This window comes from Homo sapiens, chromosome 7 (genome assembly GCF_000001405.40).
Source record: "Homo sapiens chromosome 7, GRCh38.p14 Primary Assembly".
NCBI classification, from domain to species: Eukaryota; Metazoa; Chordata; class Mammalia; order Primates; family Hominidae; genus Homo; species Homo sapiens.
Window position 1 is genome coordinate 103,591,688 of NC_000007.14, and position 17,763 is coordinate 103,609,450.

Below are 17,763 nucleotides of genomic sequence, written 5' to 3' on the forward strand. Positions count from 1 at the left end.
TTTGTCTTAAATTTGCCATGATTGCTGTTGTTTCTAACACAGACAAGTGGTTGGAACTTGAAGTTCTGTGACAAGTTCGTGCTTTAGAAATCAGATATAGGGTAGTGTAGACATACTCTCAGCTGTATTAAACATAAAATTTATCTTAAACTTTCCATTCAGGATTTAGGCCTACCTTCAACAAATATTTATTTGTGTACCTTCTATGGATCAGATACATATGTTTAAGTCTCTCCTATCTTTAAAAATAAAAATAAAACAAAAGAAAATAAAAATTCTCCCTGATTTTTGGTCTCCCTCTAACTACACAGCTAAACAAATTGAGAGAAAGGTCGTATTCACTGTGTAGACCTCTTTACTCAACATTTTAAAATCCATTGTAATCTGAATTTTGTTATATAGGTAAACTGTGTGTCTCGGGAGTTTGCTGTACAGATCACTTTGTCACCCAGGTAATAAGCATACTACCCAATAGGTAGTTTTTTGATCCTCTCCCTTCTCCTACCTTTCATCCTTAAGTAGGCCCCAGTGTCTGCTGTTCCCCTACGTGTCCATGTGTTCTCATTGTTTAGCTGCCACTTACAAGTGAGAACATGTGGCATCTGTTTTTCTGTTCCTTTATTAGTTTGCCTAGGATAATGGCCTCCAGCTCCACTCATGTTGCTATAAAAGTCATGATGTCATCCTTTTTTATGGCTGTGTAGTGTTCCATGGTGTATATGTACCACATTTTCTTTATCCAGTCTACCACAGATGAGCATTTAGGTGGTCTTTGCTAGTGTCAGTAGTGGTTTGATGAACATACACATGCATGTGTCTTTATGGTAGAATGATTTATACTTCTTTGAGTATATACCTAATAATGGGATTGCTGGGTCAAATGGTAGAGAATTAAGATTTTTCCTAAGCAGTGTGCATTCCTGATCATTGTTTAAATGCTTGAAATATTTAACACTATTTTTTAAATTTAGATTTTAAAAATTTCAGAATATTATCTTGCAGACTTTAATACCTACACAACCATGGTTTGTGATTAATTAAATAGAAAAGGTGTCAGATGAGAAACAGCATAGTGTTCTGCAAATATATTTGCTATTAACATTATTTTGTTACTACTTTAGGTATTACCAACAAATGAATATAGATTCATATATTGTTATTGATATTTTTCCATTGTAGTTTAGCATCAGAATCTAAACAAGGAAGGGTTACATTTTACTAATCATATTATTTATGACTCACTTCCTTGTTTACAGACCTGTGGAAATTGTATTTGAAGAGCTGCCTATAAACATCTGATCTCTTTAATAATTCCATTTGTAAATTATTTAGCATCTGCATCCTGCCATTATGTAAGGACCATGTAGTTGTGCTAGCTCATTAAAACTGCATTACTTTCAACCCCAGAAGTCACCTATGGGATTTTATTATAAACACAATGAAATTTTGATTAGGGTTCTGAAACAAGACCTTGTCAAAGTAAATACTTGCTATACATGTTGATATGTTATCACAGAGCTGAAAAACAAGAAGCTTTTAAGAGAACAATGATGACTGGAGTAAAAATTTACTGAATTTAAGTAAGATAATTTGTTTGAAAATAATACAGCAAAAGCATAAAATACCTTGTAAGTTCAAATACCACTAGCAAGATGAAAAGGACAACTTATTCATCATCGTTTAGAAGCTTGAGATTCATTAAGTCACAATCAGATTGAAGTTCTAAAAGTCAATTTTATTTTTAATTCTGGTAGAGTTCCTTGAGTACCTAAAGAAATGGTATACCCACAACTTTTGGGACTCCTTAAAAACTAATAACTGCTTTCGAGTAGAGCTGAAAAGCTTCGCAATTCTAACACTGTTAAGCTTTCGTACAGGTGAGTCCCTTCTTTAATAGAATATGAAAAATTTGTGTTCTTTGTGAGTTCCACTTATACATCTGGAAGATATTTTACTCCTTAACTTGCTCTGGGAAGAAGCTTGTGCATAAATACCTTGAACTGTAGCACATATCCAGGTTTCAGGGTCAAATCTCGAGTTACTGCAAATCGATCTCCATCTGATTTTCCAAATATCATTGCTGATGGTGTGGCAGCACAGAAGGTTTCATTTTTAACCATTCCTTCATTAGCCAACATCAACCACACACTCATCTGATTCATAGGGTAATCAAAAGCTGGCTTCTCATAAAAGTTCTAATAGAAACAATACAAATAAAACAAAAGGCAATTTGATAGCTTTGAAAACAAGAAAGGAATTTTCATTTCATGACATGCTGGGCCATGTACCATTTGCATTTCTAGGAAAACACAGAAGAATCTCTATTTTTTTTTACTGCTATTAACTTTTTCTCCTGATGATTCAACAACTGAAAGTATTTTACCACTGTGTATCTAATCATTTTATAAACACACTAACGATTTTGCTTGATGATTTAACCAGACTTCAGTCTTTTTTACATCTAAATTATCTGTGAAGTGGTAGCATAGAGAGGTAACAAAAAATTAAGTACAAGCCCTTAAACTTATATTATACATTCAGTGTCAAGCACTAAATCCTTAAGGAAATGAGTTCTTTATGCCATTCACTTTTATAATTATCTGTCTTCTTGGAGTTCAGACATAGGAGAATACCTGAGGTAAAGTTGGATTGATAACTGGGATGATCTGCTTCTGCTTCTCGGACAGAATGATGATGTCATCGACTGCCCACTGGTCATAGTCCTCCCCTGAGAACACGGGCTGCCACCAGCGGAACCTGGTGCAAGGGGTCTTGGCAGCAGCTGGAAGCTCCAGATAGACAAATCTGAATAAAAGTAAATCATTTACGGTTGGGAAAACAAAAGCTGTGCTTTTTTTTTTTCAGCTATTAAAACAACAAGGGTAACAACAAGAGAAAAGTTTTGTTTGGTTTGATCTCAATATTTTCCAAAAGCCCGTAAGTTTGGACATATCAGACTTGAGGTTTAACCTTGTAGGCAGGTTTAGTCCTGGTCATGTTTATTTCATTTGGAATTGTATCTTTTGGAGAAGAGGGAGAATATTTCAACTGAGTTTGATTCATTGAACTATATCTTTTGACTACCATGACAATGGTCATAACTTTTTAAAGAAATATCAAGATAAAATTGTTTAATACTATTACATGAAGATAATATTTAACATTTTTTTCAAAGGAATTCTTTCTCATTGTGGGAAAACATAAAAATGCATTAAAAATGAAACATAAATTGCCCATAATCTACTACATAGCGTTGGCTTCTGTTAACATTTTGATGTATCTCTTCACAGCTTATAATCTTTTATATAGGCAAGGCATTATACGTATAATTTGGTGATCTACATTTTAAAACTTAACATTACATCATAAGTACATTCTCATGTTAGTAAAACTATATTTTAAAATAATTTTGTGTATGTAATTTTTCATCACAAAGACATGCTATTCTGCAATTTGAGGAAGCCATTACATTTTTATTTACTTATAGAGTTACCTAGTCACCTTACTGAACTCTCAATAATTTCAGATTCACATATTACTTGGAAAAAATAATTTGAGTTATTTAAAATTATTGTTTAAGCCAGTTTGGCACCATTATCAATTCCCTCTCTACTATATTGCATCTAGGAGAATCTCACAAGGCTTCATCTCCCACCCTTTTCCTATGATATCTCTCGTTTCATCCAGTTGCCTTTTTTCTGTTTTCTCCTTCTCCCCTAAATCCCTTAGAAGAAATGCTTTCTGTTGGTCTGTTTGCATGTCTACTTATGTTTTATCATGGTAAGTTCTGTCACCTTTAAATGACCTAATACTTTAAAAAGTCAAACTTATGAACCTTCAATCTACAAAATAGGTATGCTTTAAGTAAAATGTTTAAAACATATTCAGTCTGTAAGAACTGGGTTTATATAGTCTTAAATAATTTTTTTTCAATAAACAAGTCTCATTTGTAAAATGAAAACAGGGACAAGATCCATATATTAAAACTTAATAGTAGTCAACATACAAAAAATTATTTTTTTGTTAAAATGAAAATACAGAGATTATAAAAAGTATTCTAAAATAATATCATTGAATAGACTTTAATAATACTTATATAAAATATAAATACAGAATTTCAAAATACTACATAATTGCAAAAGAACTAAATTTAAATACATATAAATACATTGCCTGGTACTGGTATTAGTATTAAACACGAGTCATCTCCCCAAACTCTTCAACAGTCATTGCCTAAGATATTTTATTACATATATTCCCAATACATCAAAATTAAGACAGGGATAGGCCAGGGCAAAATTTTTAGAAAATCTGAGCTCTATACACTTACTCATACACTGTTTAGGGATAGCCCTTGGTGCAGCCATGTGAAACACTTTAACAAAAAAATCCATCTTACTGTTAAATCTAAGAGCTAAGCATAATTTGTGTGTGCATTAAAAATAATCAAACAAGCCTGCAAATGGGAAAATGAGCGTGGAACATCCCCATATTCCATGGTTTCTTTGAGTAAACAGTGGTTACGTATCTTGCTTTTCTTCTAGTCACAAGCTTTAAAAAATCTTTAAAAATTCAAACATGAATACAAATGCTTTCTGTCCAGTCACTTAAGTGAAATAAAATCTTTATATACTGGGCTATCATTCATGTTAAATTTTTATAGGTTTGTCTATTTTTGCAACAGTTAACATTTTGGAAACACATCAACAATGATTTAACCTTTACCATTCCTGGAAACTAATGCGAGGACCATCAGGTGGGTAGTTACCTGGGTTTGCTGAAGTCTGAAAAGTACATCTCTGCTAGCAGGTGCCACTGGATGCCCCCATTGTTGCTGTACTGAAGGAGGACGCCCTCCTCTCTGCTGTCAGGCTTGTTGCATGAAGCACTCTCTCCGCCTATCTGGATGTAGAACTGGACAAAGTCCACCCAAGAAGTATCCAGGTCCCAACTCACCAGCTGTCTTTTCCCAGCCTTTCAGAAAAGAAGAAAAATCAAATTCAGTAATCTGGGAGTTCTTTGGCATTTTGTTGTTTCAGTTCCAAATTCACATGGACATCTTAGCACTATGTGGAAATGGTCTCGTCCCCATTTATTGTGGAGAGAGGGCAGTCATGCCATTTAGTTGTTTCTGATCCGACTACGGTAACTGTTGCTGGATACCTTTGGTTAATGTCTACATTACTGATTCCCAGGCTGGGTTATGAGAGACCCTTGGGAATTGCTAATTACACCAAGAGTACTAAAAAGCTTTTTAAAATTTTAACGAAAACACTCTGAATCCTTACTTTGCATATTTCCTCTAGGCAGAACCATGCAGATGAAAGACCATCTATTTGAAATCTGTTGGAGCTGGGTTTGAATCTCAGCCCATTATTCATACTGATCACTAGCTGTGTGACCTTTCTGAGCTTTTATTTTCCTCAAAGGTACAATATGGATAATAATACCTTCCTCATATGGTGTTGTGACAATTAGATGAAATAACATGTTGCATGGAACTTGCTAGTACACAGCATGCCTTCCAGAGGGAACATCCTCTCCAGAGATATGGCCCTGACCCTCCTGTCCTGTGGGCATTAAAGTAGACCAGGCAACGTAGAAGCTTCTTGACAAAAAGAAAGAGTACTTGAGGCCAGGCGCGGTGGCTCATGCCTGTAATCACAGCACTTTGGGAGGCCGAAGTGGGTGGATCACCTGAGGTCAGGAGTTTGAGACCAGCCTGGCCAACATGGTGAAACCCTGTCTCTACTAAAAATATAAAAATCAGCCAGGTATGGTGGCACACACCTGTAATCCCAGCTATTCAGGAGGCTGAGGCAGGAGAATCACTTAAACCTGGGAGATGGAGGTTGCAGTGAGCGAGATCAGGCCACTGCACCCCAGCTTGGGTGACAAGAGTGAGACTCTGTCTCAAAAAAGAAAATAAAGAGTACTTGAATCGAATCTCTCAGGATCCTAGTCTCCTTTCCTTCTCTCTCACAAACAGAAGTTAGGAGAGATCATTTAAATAAATTGTTGCAACCACTAAATGGTCTCTGTGTCTTAAAAGTGTTACAAATTTCCTGAAATCCAAGAACTTGCTTCCTTTGCTTAGTGAGTCCCCTGCAGGTCACAGTCCTGTGGTGAGGTGTCAGACAGAAATTAACAAGGTTTGTCATTGTTCCTGTTGTTCAAAATGATTTCAGCTAATGGGGCTGAAGAAAGGTTTGCTTATGAAAGTCTTCCACCTAAACAGATTCTTCCAAAGCTCATCCATGGATTTCTCTTGAGCTGGTCTCTGAGAGTTCCCAGGAAGTTCAATTAAAAGTCGGGAAGAAAACCTGAGATAATATACATAGTATTACAGAAAAATGGCTCTCACACTTAGGATTTAAACTCTAATCCACTAAGTTAATTAAGAAAGGGTTTCGGTTATTAGAAGTCACAGGGGAAATAACTGGGGTTAATTAAAAGACTATACTGCTACTGATAGGTCTAAAGCCAATTAAGAGTTTTCAAAATAAACAAGGGTGCTAGCAAAATGAGAACTGAAGTTAATTCAGAGACAGAAACTCATTCTTTGGAAATCTCAATTTTAGGTATGTATTTGAGGAAATCTTGTAAGTTACATGCATTTTTAAGTTGTTATATATGCCTTTTAATTTTTCCTGTTGTTGATTTGAAATATTGTAAGTGAGAACAACTCAGAGATCCTAGCATTTTCAACCCTCCCGATCATTACAGGAAGAATGATTTTTGGAAGAAAAACTATAGAACCTAGCAGGTTAATTCCAGTCCAGCAAACTCCTGTGAAAAACCTGGCATGTGGAAATGAGCCAGAAGGATAAAGATCTAAGGTGAGGGGAATTCTAAAAATCCAGTTATCACAATTAGTTGGTTGAAATGATTGCTCTACTGTGAAATTCAGAGTAGTGTTGTTTTTCCAGGAGACTATGGTGTTAGTCTACAGAGGTTTTGAAAGAATGTTTTGTGAGATTTTTGTAAATGATGGAAAATATCACACAAATGCTTAGTTTGGCACTGAAAGTGTTTTTTCCTAGAGAATAGCACAAATCATTTTCTTTTGTTTGGTGACCTGAAATGCTGAACATTGTTTTAAAGGAAGAAAAAAGAAAAGGGAAATGGCTCATGGCAAAGTTTTTGCCAGAATTCAGAATTCAATGTAACATATGCTTTGCAGTTTTTCTGTTACGCTGTGATCAATGTATTTATGTGTATATGTGTAAACACATGTAATGTGTGTGTGCGCATATGTGTTGGAGTAATAATATTGTGCCATTCCTGGTATATGGAAAATGGCCTCCAATTTCCCCCCAAATTCTAGGTTAAAATGATTTACTGCTTTAAGGGTTTAGCTAAAATAAAACAAGTTTTAACAGGTAAGGCTTTCAGAATCTAGAACGTTTATAACAAAACCTCCAAAACATTTCATGACTAATCACCTTTTGCTTTCCATTAAAGTCTTTCTAAATTAATCAAAATGTCACTAGAAAGCAATTCTATTTACTTGAAAATAACCATTTCTTCAGAATCTTTTATTGTTTCCCAATTGTCTTTCTTTTTTTTTCATTCATTTATTCAGTCTTTCTTCAACAATTATACCAGGCAGAACACCATGTATTATAAAAACAAAAATGAAGGGATTCACAGACTTCTGGCAGAGACAGGAATGGCAACTGAGGGCTGCAGACCCAGTTCTGATTTCTTGTCAAGCCCCATTTAGTCATATGATCACTTATTAATTTTCCAATCTATTTAGTCTCAAGAGTATGTATTGATTTGTAAATGTCTAGTGCATGACATGCATTTCTGAGCTGAACACCTTAGCCAGAGTTTGGCTCAGTCTGTGAGACTCCACATTCTGCTTGGTATTGTGAGGATGAAAATTTAAATATGATCTTTATATGTAAAAATCAGAGAGGAATTCTAAGAAAAGAGAGAAGTACAGTTTGCCAGAGCTCCAGAAAGCTTCAGGGAGGCAGTGGAATTTGAACAGGACACCGAAATTTTATGTGAATGCAGAGAAGATGAAAGGCATAATGGTAGGCAGTGGCAAAAACTTGGATGGTGAGAAGAGCTTTGTGGCTGGAGCAAAGGGCTCATGCCTAGAAAATGAATATAAGCTATGTAGTTAGAGCAGGAGTATCAGAGACCATCTTGAATATTTGTGATCGGATAGGGAAAGAATGAATTATGTATGTATGCATGTATTATTTATTTATTTGAGACAGGGTCGTCCTCTGTCGCCCAGGCTGGAGTGTAATGGTGTGATCACAGCTCACCGCAACCTCAAATGCCTAGGCTCAAGCGATCCTTCTGCCTCATTCTCCTGAGTAGTTTGGAGTACAGGCATGCCCCACTATGCCCAGCTAATTTTATTTTATTATTTTAGAGACAGGCTCTTGCCATGTTGCTTGGGATGCTCTTAAACTCCTAGCCTCAAGTGATACTCCACCTCAGCCTCACAAAGTGCTAGAACTACAGGTGTGAACCACCACATCTGGGTGGAGATAAGTTTTAGATAATATGATCTAGGCTGGTGGGCAAATGGTCTAAGGAGCCCTTCCTTTGGGTTACTGCCCCTTCACTTCAACATGCTTGCTGGTGGGGGCTGCCAGACAGTGTATCCACCTTGCTGCCAAACAAGTGAGTGCATGAATCTGGCTATACAATTATAGCACACCATTCCTCCCAGGACACTGTGACTGGCCGCCAGGAGTCTTCCCTGTTTTTTCCTATGGAGCTGGTTGGAAAGCCCTGTGGCTGTGGTTCCATTCTCATAGTGAGAGCTGGCCTGCAAAACGGGTCTACTCTTTCAAATCGGGTCTACTCTCAAGGGGAAAGTTCTGTGAGCTTCAAAGTTACTGGTTCCAGGTCTCCCTTGCACCAGCCCCATTTAAGCCCTCCTTGTGTTTTCCCTCCCATAAATCAAATTTCTCCCTTTTTTTTACTTAAGATAGTTCCTCTTACTTAGAATTCAAAACAGTTCTGAATGAATCAACAGAAAAAAGTAAAATATAACCCAGGGATATTTTGACAAAAATTTAGGGGGAAAGCTGAATTGGAAGGGGCAGAGAATTTTACTTTTGAAATGATGATTTTTAGTTAGTTGCAGGGCATAAATGTGAAAATATTCAATAAGACAAATTTGGAATTTATTGTCATAAAATTCAACTATGATACCTAACACATATGATCTCTTTCTGTGTTCCCAACATTATTCTTTACTCTTTACTTGCATCGACTTACTTATTCCTCTCAATATCCACTTTTCAGTCAAGAAACCTGAGATACAGACAGTTGTTATAACTTTGCAATGTGAACCAACCAATAAATTTTGGAGCCCAGATAGTCTGTCTGACTTCAGAGATCATCTTGAATTAAGTGGAAGAAATATTGATATGTAACCCTTTACATGTTAAAATGTGTGTGTGTGTGTGTATGTGTATGTGTGCTTACTGGGGTGTCTGAGTACATACTGGTAAAAGAGTCACAATCTTACTTTAAAATTGATGCTTATAGGACCACAACCTTTCCATTTCTGAACAACAGGTGATCCAGATATGTGCAATGCATTTTGATAACTGAGCGACTATTATCTTTAACAATAATCATCAGGGGAGGACCTTCCATGTCAACGGATAGGAAATACTGTTAAATGGACTCCTTTCCTGATTTTCTATAATCCTCTATCTTGTTTACTTGCTGTTTCTTTGTTCTTCACCTGCATTAAAACAAAACCTGCAGCTATTTTTGTATTTGCATAAATTAACACATCTTGGATTTCTGCCCAGATTCTGCAACATATCAGCCCTGTAGCATATCACTCACACCTGTCTACGTGTTACATGCTGTAAAGTGGGACACCTCCAATTGCCTCAGAATTGGTGGCTATATTACCTGCTTGAAAGAAGTGATATTACACACTCCACATTCCAAAGATTAGGGTTAGACACATTGCTCAGGTTGGATACTGGACCTGCTGTCTTTTTAGTCCCTTTCAAGACTATATAAGGAGACAGATTGGAAAAGAGAAAAAGAATGTCCTGCCTAGACTGCAGTGAGGGAGGAGAGAGAGGTGGTTACCCCTCTCGCATCCCTAACCAAGCGACACAGGTTGAGGTATTCCAAGAGCATCAATTTTAGTGATTCTGGTTGGCACCTCAGTCCTTAGTTGGTTTCTAGCAATCTGCATGCCTAATCTGGTGCTACCACTAGGGAAGCTGACTACTGCAAGAAAAACTTTCATACAGAGTCCCACATCAGCAGATGCCACCAGCAGCCACCAAACCAAGTCAGAGTAGGACCTGCGATGTCTGCCCACCCCAGACAGCTGGTCAGTTCTCTAGGAACAGCTCTACATACCCCCACTCTCATCACTATTCCTCCTTCTTCCAATCATATTCCTAAAATTAATGGATTGACAGATTTAATAAACACATACAGAAGTGCTTCCTATATGTTATGAAGTGTTCTACATGATTTACCAATATTAACTCACTTAATCTACATACTAACCCTCATGAGGTAGACATTCCATATCCCTGCTTTACAGATGGGGAAGCTAAATCACCAGGAGGTTGAATAATGTGCTTCAAAAATCACTAGAAATACCATTTGACCCAGCAATCCCATTATGGGTATATACCCAAAGGATTATAAATCATTCTACTATAAAGACACATGCACACGTATGTTTACTGCGGCACTGTTCACAATAGCAAAGACTTGGAACCAATCCAAATGCCCATCAATGATAGACTGGATAAAGAAAATGTGGCACATATACACCATGGAATAGTATGCAGCCATAAAAAAGGATGAGTTCATGTCCTTTGCAGGGACATGGATGAAGTTGGAAGCCATTATTCTTAGCAAACTAACACAAGAACAGAAAACCAGACACCACATGTTCTCACTCATAAGTGGGAGTTGAACAATGAGAGAACATGGCCACAGGGAGGGGAACATCACACACTGGGGCCTGTTGGGGGATGGGGGACTAGGAGAGGGATAACATTAGGAGAAATACCTAATGTAGATGATGAGTTGATGGGTACAGCAAACCACCATGGCACGTGTATACCTATGTAACAAACCTGCACGTTCTGCACATGTACCCCAGAACTTAAATAATTAAAAAAAAATCAAAGAATCATAAAGTGGTCAAATTGGATGGAAACAGGCAATCTGGCTCCAGAGTTGCTGCCCATAACCTCTAAGCTCATCCCCTCGTTGCCCCCAGGCCTCACACTGACACACCCTCCAAAGGCCAGGGTGAGAAGAGACCAAAAGCCTTCCCTACGCAAACTTCCTCAATACACAAGCCTGGCTGGAAATGAAGGAAAGGAAAGTAATGGTATTTAAATCAGGTACAGGAGGGTAGAAGTTTTAAACTGGCTTAACCTGATTTTTTAGTAACCAAAAAGAGTAATAAAAAGAACAACAAGAATTTCCCAAGACATAGCTAAGGAATAGGAATTTGATAGAGCCCACTCAAAAGCGGGGAACGTGGGGAACAATAGAACCACTTCATATTTGTACATTTGGAATTCAGAGTCTCATATTAAACTAGCCATTGCCCCGATGACTTATCCCAGCTGTTGGTCATACCTTGCTGAAGTACAGAGATGATCCAGAAGAGATGACACCACACCCTTGTTCTGGTTTTACAATTTCTCCCCCAATAACTTCTTGCCAGTCAGACTCCCAGCCATTCTGGTTCTCAAAATCTGACATAATTGTGGACGGAAGGGCAGCTTCTGGGTGGCATTCAGTGCCTTGGTACCCCTGGTCACACCTATGAGAGAGCAGGGCTGAGTAGGCAGGTTACAGGCCCACCTGCCAATGCAATGGCCCTCTGACCTCAACCATTTCCCATGTCTTACTTTTGCTCAGGTCTTATCATTCACACTAGATTCTTCCCTACAGTGTTAATCTGGGTATGCGGTAGTAACAACCCTCAGTTTTTCATACTCCCCTTAAAACTGATAGAATCTTTTCTTAAAAGAAATAATGCTGTAAGGGTAGAATTTGGGCATCAAGTATTTACGAAGGACAGTGGTGTGTGTGCTTATGTGAGTGTGTGTTTGTGGGGGGCTGAGGGATAGTGGGATTTCCCTATTGCCTTAAAAAATCACATATAAATGTCTGTCTGCTCAACCAACATATAATTCAGGCAACATTTTATAGTTCCTCTTTCTGATTAAACTATGCCTTTTTTAGAGTCTTTAGGTATTCAAGTGTGTTCCTCTGTCCTCATTAGCAATAATCACCATCTCCCCATGTATACAACCTTGAACTTCTGGTGAAGTGGTGTAAGAGGGCATGCAGCAGGGTTTGACTAGTGCTCTAAGATTCTCAGTGGATGAAAAGGGAAACAATGGCAAGGCTCTTTTAATAAACTCTGACGTTGAAGCTCAGGAGGCCTTGTCTTGAGGTTAGAGTTTGAGATTTAGAATATATGGTTTCATACTTATTTTAATGTAACAATAGCTTTTACATCTAAAATACAAACAGAAAGGAGGACTTGTTTCTTTTGGCTATGTCATTATTTATCGGTCTATCCATGTCACTCTGATGACAACTGCTGTGGTATCCTCCAGCCACAAATCTTGAGAAGCATGGACCTCATCGTGCTTTCTGGTGCACATACCTGCATATGCCATGATCGCATGAGCCATGCCCACTGCACATGTTGGGGCACTGCTGCCCAATGTAAATGCTGTCCAAAGCCCACTCGTCTTGAGCTGTGTAATAGCTCTGGCTCCAGCGGAAACGGGTAGCACTGGACCTAGAAACACGGTATAGTATAACAAAAACGGTTTCAACCTTTCAGCAGTGACATTGGCAAAGAATGTCAGAGTCCAAAATCTTTCAGCTAACTAACTTTCTGGAACTTGAGCTTAGCTGGCATCATTTTTCTTTAATTTCCACTCAATTATTGTCCAATGCAACAATTCTATCATGAAAGAAAGTTAAAGAGAAATCTGTCTATTGGATGCAATTCAATCTTAATTTGAGATGTTTTAAAGAAAAACACAGTATCAGATTTTGTTGGTTGCACAGATTTGTTGCTAGAAAAAGTACTAAGAAAGAACATTAAAAAATAAAGACATCTACTAAACTGAACCTATCTTTCTTTTTTTTTTTTTTTTGAGACAGAGTCTCACTCTGTTGCCCAGGCTGGATTGCAATGGTGCGATCTCGGCTCACTGCAACATCCGCCTCCTGGGTTCAAGCCATTATCTTGCCTCAGCCTCCCAAATAGCTGGGATTGCAGGCACACACCAACATGCCTGGCTAATTTTTGTATTTTTAGTAGAGACAGGGTTTCACCATGTTGGCCAGGCTGCTCTTGAACTCCTGACCTCAGATAATCCACCCGCCTTGGCCTCCCAAAGTGTTGGGATTACAGGCGTAAGCCACCGCGCCCTGCCAACTGAGCCTTTTATAGACAAAAATGTAAGATGTTTAACCTTAGAGTAATAGAGTTTCTTACAATAAATACAGTAGTTATTAGAACATTTTCAGCTAGTTCGTAATATAAGACAAAAGTTTTGTTTGGGGGTATTGTTTTGGGGTTGAGGGGACATACCACAATGTACTATATTACAAAGAAGAATATCTGGATGCTAAATTCTACTTATTTCTGAAACACTAACTTGCCTGAGTTTCATGGATAAACTGATCTTAAGTGGGGATGAAAATTAAACAGTTCATTACACAGACAGAAACACTTGGGCCCTTAATTCACTGAAACGAAATATAAAGTCCAGAGAAGTGGATATTTTGAGAGTAATGTCAAGAAGGTGTCTGTCTATTCATTGACTGCTATAAAACATTCTTTTAAAATTATAGCATATTTTTCACCTGTAGGAATTTTCAGGGACCTGTGGTTCTTTTGGTCAAAGGGCTAAATGAAACAAAGAAACAAAACATGATTTGCAAAATTACTGTGTATGCTCAGTTCCACTGAAGGAACCTTTCCCAAGCACACTATATACAGATACCCTTGATCTTAATGATCTAAATGATCCATTAAAGTCTATTGCATCAATTACCCACATATTAAGTACTCCCTAAGTACATAACAGACTGTTAAAATTCCGACTAAGCCTTTATTGTTTATTTTATCAATGATCTGTGACTAATAGGTTGTATTTTCATTCCTAGTAGGATAATACCAGGATTCACAGAGACGCATCCAGTAGACACAGGGTTGCTGCATATCAGTGCTTGTCATGGAACATACGATGGGACAGATGCACCACCTCCTCTATGGTAATCAGTTTATATTTGTAAGCAAACAGCCATCACAATATTCACAGTCCCACTAAGAAATGGTTTTTAGAAAAGCCTACTATAAAAGTAGATGCATTATCTTAGAGCAGAGAGCACTACAGAATAGACGTAAATAAGACTTATGCACCTTGTCATCCTGAAAAGGAAAGCTGAGTTTACTCTTTTAAGATAGATTTTAATCTGAGTCAAGTCCACGGCCACGGGTGACTAGATTGTGAGCTCTTTGGGGATAGGGATATCTTTAGTCTCCATAGTTTGCACAGGAACAGAATAAAGTAGGTGTCCAAAAAAGTTTGCTAAAACAGTAAGTCAGTGAGTGGATGAACAGGTCAGTAAAGGGCAGCCTGCTTATGGCTTCTGTAGGTGACGGAATGAAGAATGTACTAGTAGTTGGGGGACAAGGCCCCCAGGACCCTGGTTCTGCAACTTAGCAGCTGTGTGACCTTTAGTGAGAAATATAAGCCTTCAGGGGCTTGTAGTTCCTCACCTCTCAAATAAAAGGTTTAGGCAAACTAATTTCTAAGATCCCTTCCAGCTCTCAAATATAATGATTCCTCTGCTGGTACGTTGACCAAGTGACAATTTATTTTCTTTACAGTTACATGCCTATAAAAAACCCATGGCACCCATTAATTTGAGATTTTTTTACTTCCAAATGTGAAAATGGGCATGGGGAAGGGTTTCAGAAACTTGTCTTAGGTTACATAGTTTATGTTTCTAAACAGTCACATGCAGACACATTCTAAATTGTTTTCCTAAGTAAATTAATCCTTATATGCATCTTATGAACTTTTAAAAAAGATATTATTTCCTTAGGACACAAAACTTCAAGGGGACAATTCCACTTAAAACCACAATCCGGTATGTGATGTTCCCCTTCCTGTGTCCATGTGTTCTCATTATTCAGTTCCCACCTATGAGTAAGAACATGCGGTGTTTGGTTTTTTGTCCTTGCGATAGTTTGCTGAGAATAATGGTTTCCAGTTTCATCCATGTCCCTACAAAGGACACGAACTCATCATTTTTTATGGCTGCATAGTATTCCATGGTATATATGTACCATATTTTCTTAATCCAGTCTATCGTTGTTGGACATTTGTGGGGTGGGGGGTGGGGGGAGGGATACCATTAGGAGATATACCTAATGTTAAATGATGAGTTAATGGGTGCAGCACACCAACATGGCACATGTATACATATGTAACAAACCTGCACGTTGTGCACATGTACCCTAAAACTTAAAGTATAATAATAAAAAAATAAAATCACAATCCACAGTTTAATGTGCTAATGTTAATTAAGAGAAAAGGCAAGAAAAAGAGATTGAATATTGGCTTCAGTTTTATTGAGAAAAAAAATTAGTTGTGTGAGCAATCTCCAGCTGTCACACGTGAGAAGACAAGGTGCAAAGTCTCTGATCTGCAGCGGTATCATTGCTGTGTCTCTCCCTCAATACAAATATTTAAATTGCCAAGTTTTTCTTTCTCTACCTCTCAAAACTAAGTAATCTTAGGAAGAAAATCTTGTCCACTTTGGATTGAGTCTGAAGGCAGAACTACTGTTGTGTGGGTCATGAAATGAAGTTGACTTGCATTTAAAATCTAAACTCTCCGGATTCCCCAAAGCAACAAAACTTGACTCCTTTATTTGATTTTTCCTTCCCATATAACTTGAAGACTGAAATGAAACAGTATTGAATCATCTCTTCATAGTTATGTTACCTGAGGGATCAAGGTAAATGAAGGCTGACTAAATTGTATTTTCCACCTTCAGAGTTCCTGTAATTACATTTACCCAATTATTCTGAAACTCATTCACTCATTAGGTGTTGATTTGTTTATGAAGTCAGCGACTGATAGCTGTTTGGGTCTCATCAGGCCATGTTCTTATGTAAATGTCTCTCATAAAAACAAAATTAATTTTCATTGGGTAACAAATGTTCATACACAATGTAATTTCTCTACGCAGGTACATACATTCAGTATTTTCATTCTAAGTTGCCCTATCTAGCACATTTCCCAAAGTTAACAAATATGTGATAATGCAGGGACCACATTTGCTTTTATGTATTCAATTTATAATTGCATATGTTTAAATCAAAACGGCAGAACAAAGATTTGGCCAAAAAAAGATTACTGCTACAAACTGCATTCCCTTTCCCCAATGCTTGAGAAAAACCTGCTATTTGCAAAGGTTTAAAATTATCAAAATAAATAAAGTTATCAAGACTTCCAAGGAATGTAAATATACTTTATTTTTATGGCAGAGCTTTTAAGCATTATAGATCCAAAAACAATGACAATAACTAGTAGAATATGATTTTTTTGAAATGTAGCAATAATGTTTAGTTTAAATATTAGTCAGTAGGAATGTTAAGATAAATATTCTGCTGGGTTGTTTTTTAAAAAATATTTTCACTTTTTTTTTTCCAGGGCTTTGAAGGAAATTTGGAAAAGCAGAATTAAATTACTTGTTACATATACTTAAAGGTAAATGGTCCGGGGAATAATTTAGTAGAAACTTTATCTAACATCATAATATTAACTATTTATTAAAAGAGATACTTTATAATAAAACATCTCTTTAGCACATTGAGGCTCATCAAGTTAAAATTCTGTTTAATTCCCCAATGTCCAATAAGCACAACTACTACCTGCCAGGTACTCCAGGGAATTTAAACGCTTATGGGTTAATATATTTCCTTTCAGTGTGTGTTTAACACTGAAGATAATTAACCTTTTCTGACTATACTAAAAATTCCAGCTTGGTGTTGCTATCTTTTGAGCTAGAAAATAATAATGTAGCACACAATTTGAGTGTCAAAGAACCTGCAAAGGCTTTTCTGATAAGGACAACACTTTCTGAATTTGCCTAAGCTACATTAAATAAGAACAATAGTTCATAATGTTTCTAGGGACAAAAAGACATCTCTAAAATATACTATTAGGCTAGGCGCGGTGGGTCATGCCTATAATTTCAGCATTTTGGGAGGTCAAGGTGGGTGGATCACCTGAGGTCAGGAGTTCAAGACCAGCCTGGCCAACATGACAAAACCCCATCTCTACTAAAAATACAAAAATTAGCTGGGTGTAATGGGGCATGCCTGTAGTCCCAGCTGCTTGGGAGGCTGAGGCAGGTGAATCACTTGAACCCGGGAAATGAAGGCTGCAATGAGCCAAGGTCGCGCCACTGCACTCCAGCCTGGGTGACAGAGCAAGACTCTGTCTCAAAAAAAAAAAAAAAAAAATACACTATCAGTAGTATTTTACCATCATAATTTTGAAAGTGTGCTTCACATGTCAATGAGTAAAAAACAATTTTTATGTGAGGGAAATAAAATAATGAAAAAATAAACCTCAGTAGCTCTGCTTTGAGTATGACCAGTATTTCCATTGTTTGAAGTGCTGTTTTGCATACATTTGACATATATGCTTGGAATACCATTGAAATTAAATA

General features: G+C 37.3%; 1 protein-coding gene across 2 annotated transcripts in view; it reads right to left on the reverse strand.

Moving 5' to 3' along the window:
* Window positions 1-17,763, reverse strand: part of RELN (reelin) — a 517,870-nt gene that overhangs the window by 119,899 nt on the left and 380,208 nt on the right. For both annotated transcript variants that reach the window (NM_173054.3, NM_005045.4), the window contains exons 23-27: window positions 12,659-12,796; window positions 11,617-11,803; window positions 4,769-4,974; window positions 2,634-2,805; window positions 1,995-2,195 (exon numbers count right to left, since the gene is read on the reverse strand). In NM_173054.3, coding sequence (NP_774959.1) covers window positions 1,995-2,195; window positions 2,634-2,805; window positions 4,769-4,974; window positions 11,617-11,803; window positions 12,659-12,796 — 904 coding nt within the window. The remainder of the gene's footprint in view (window positions 1-1,994; window positions 2,196-2,633; window positions 2,806-4,768; window positions 4,975-11,616; window positions 11,804-12,658; window positions 12,797-17,763) is intronic.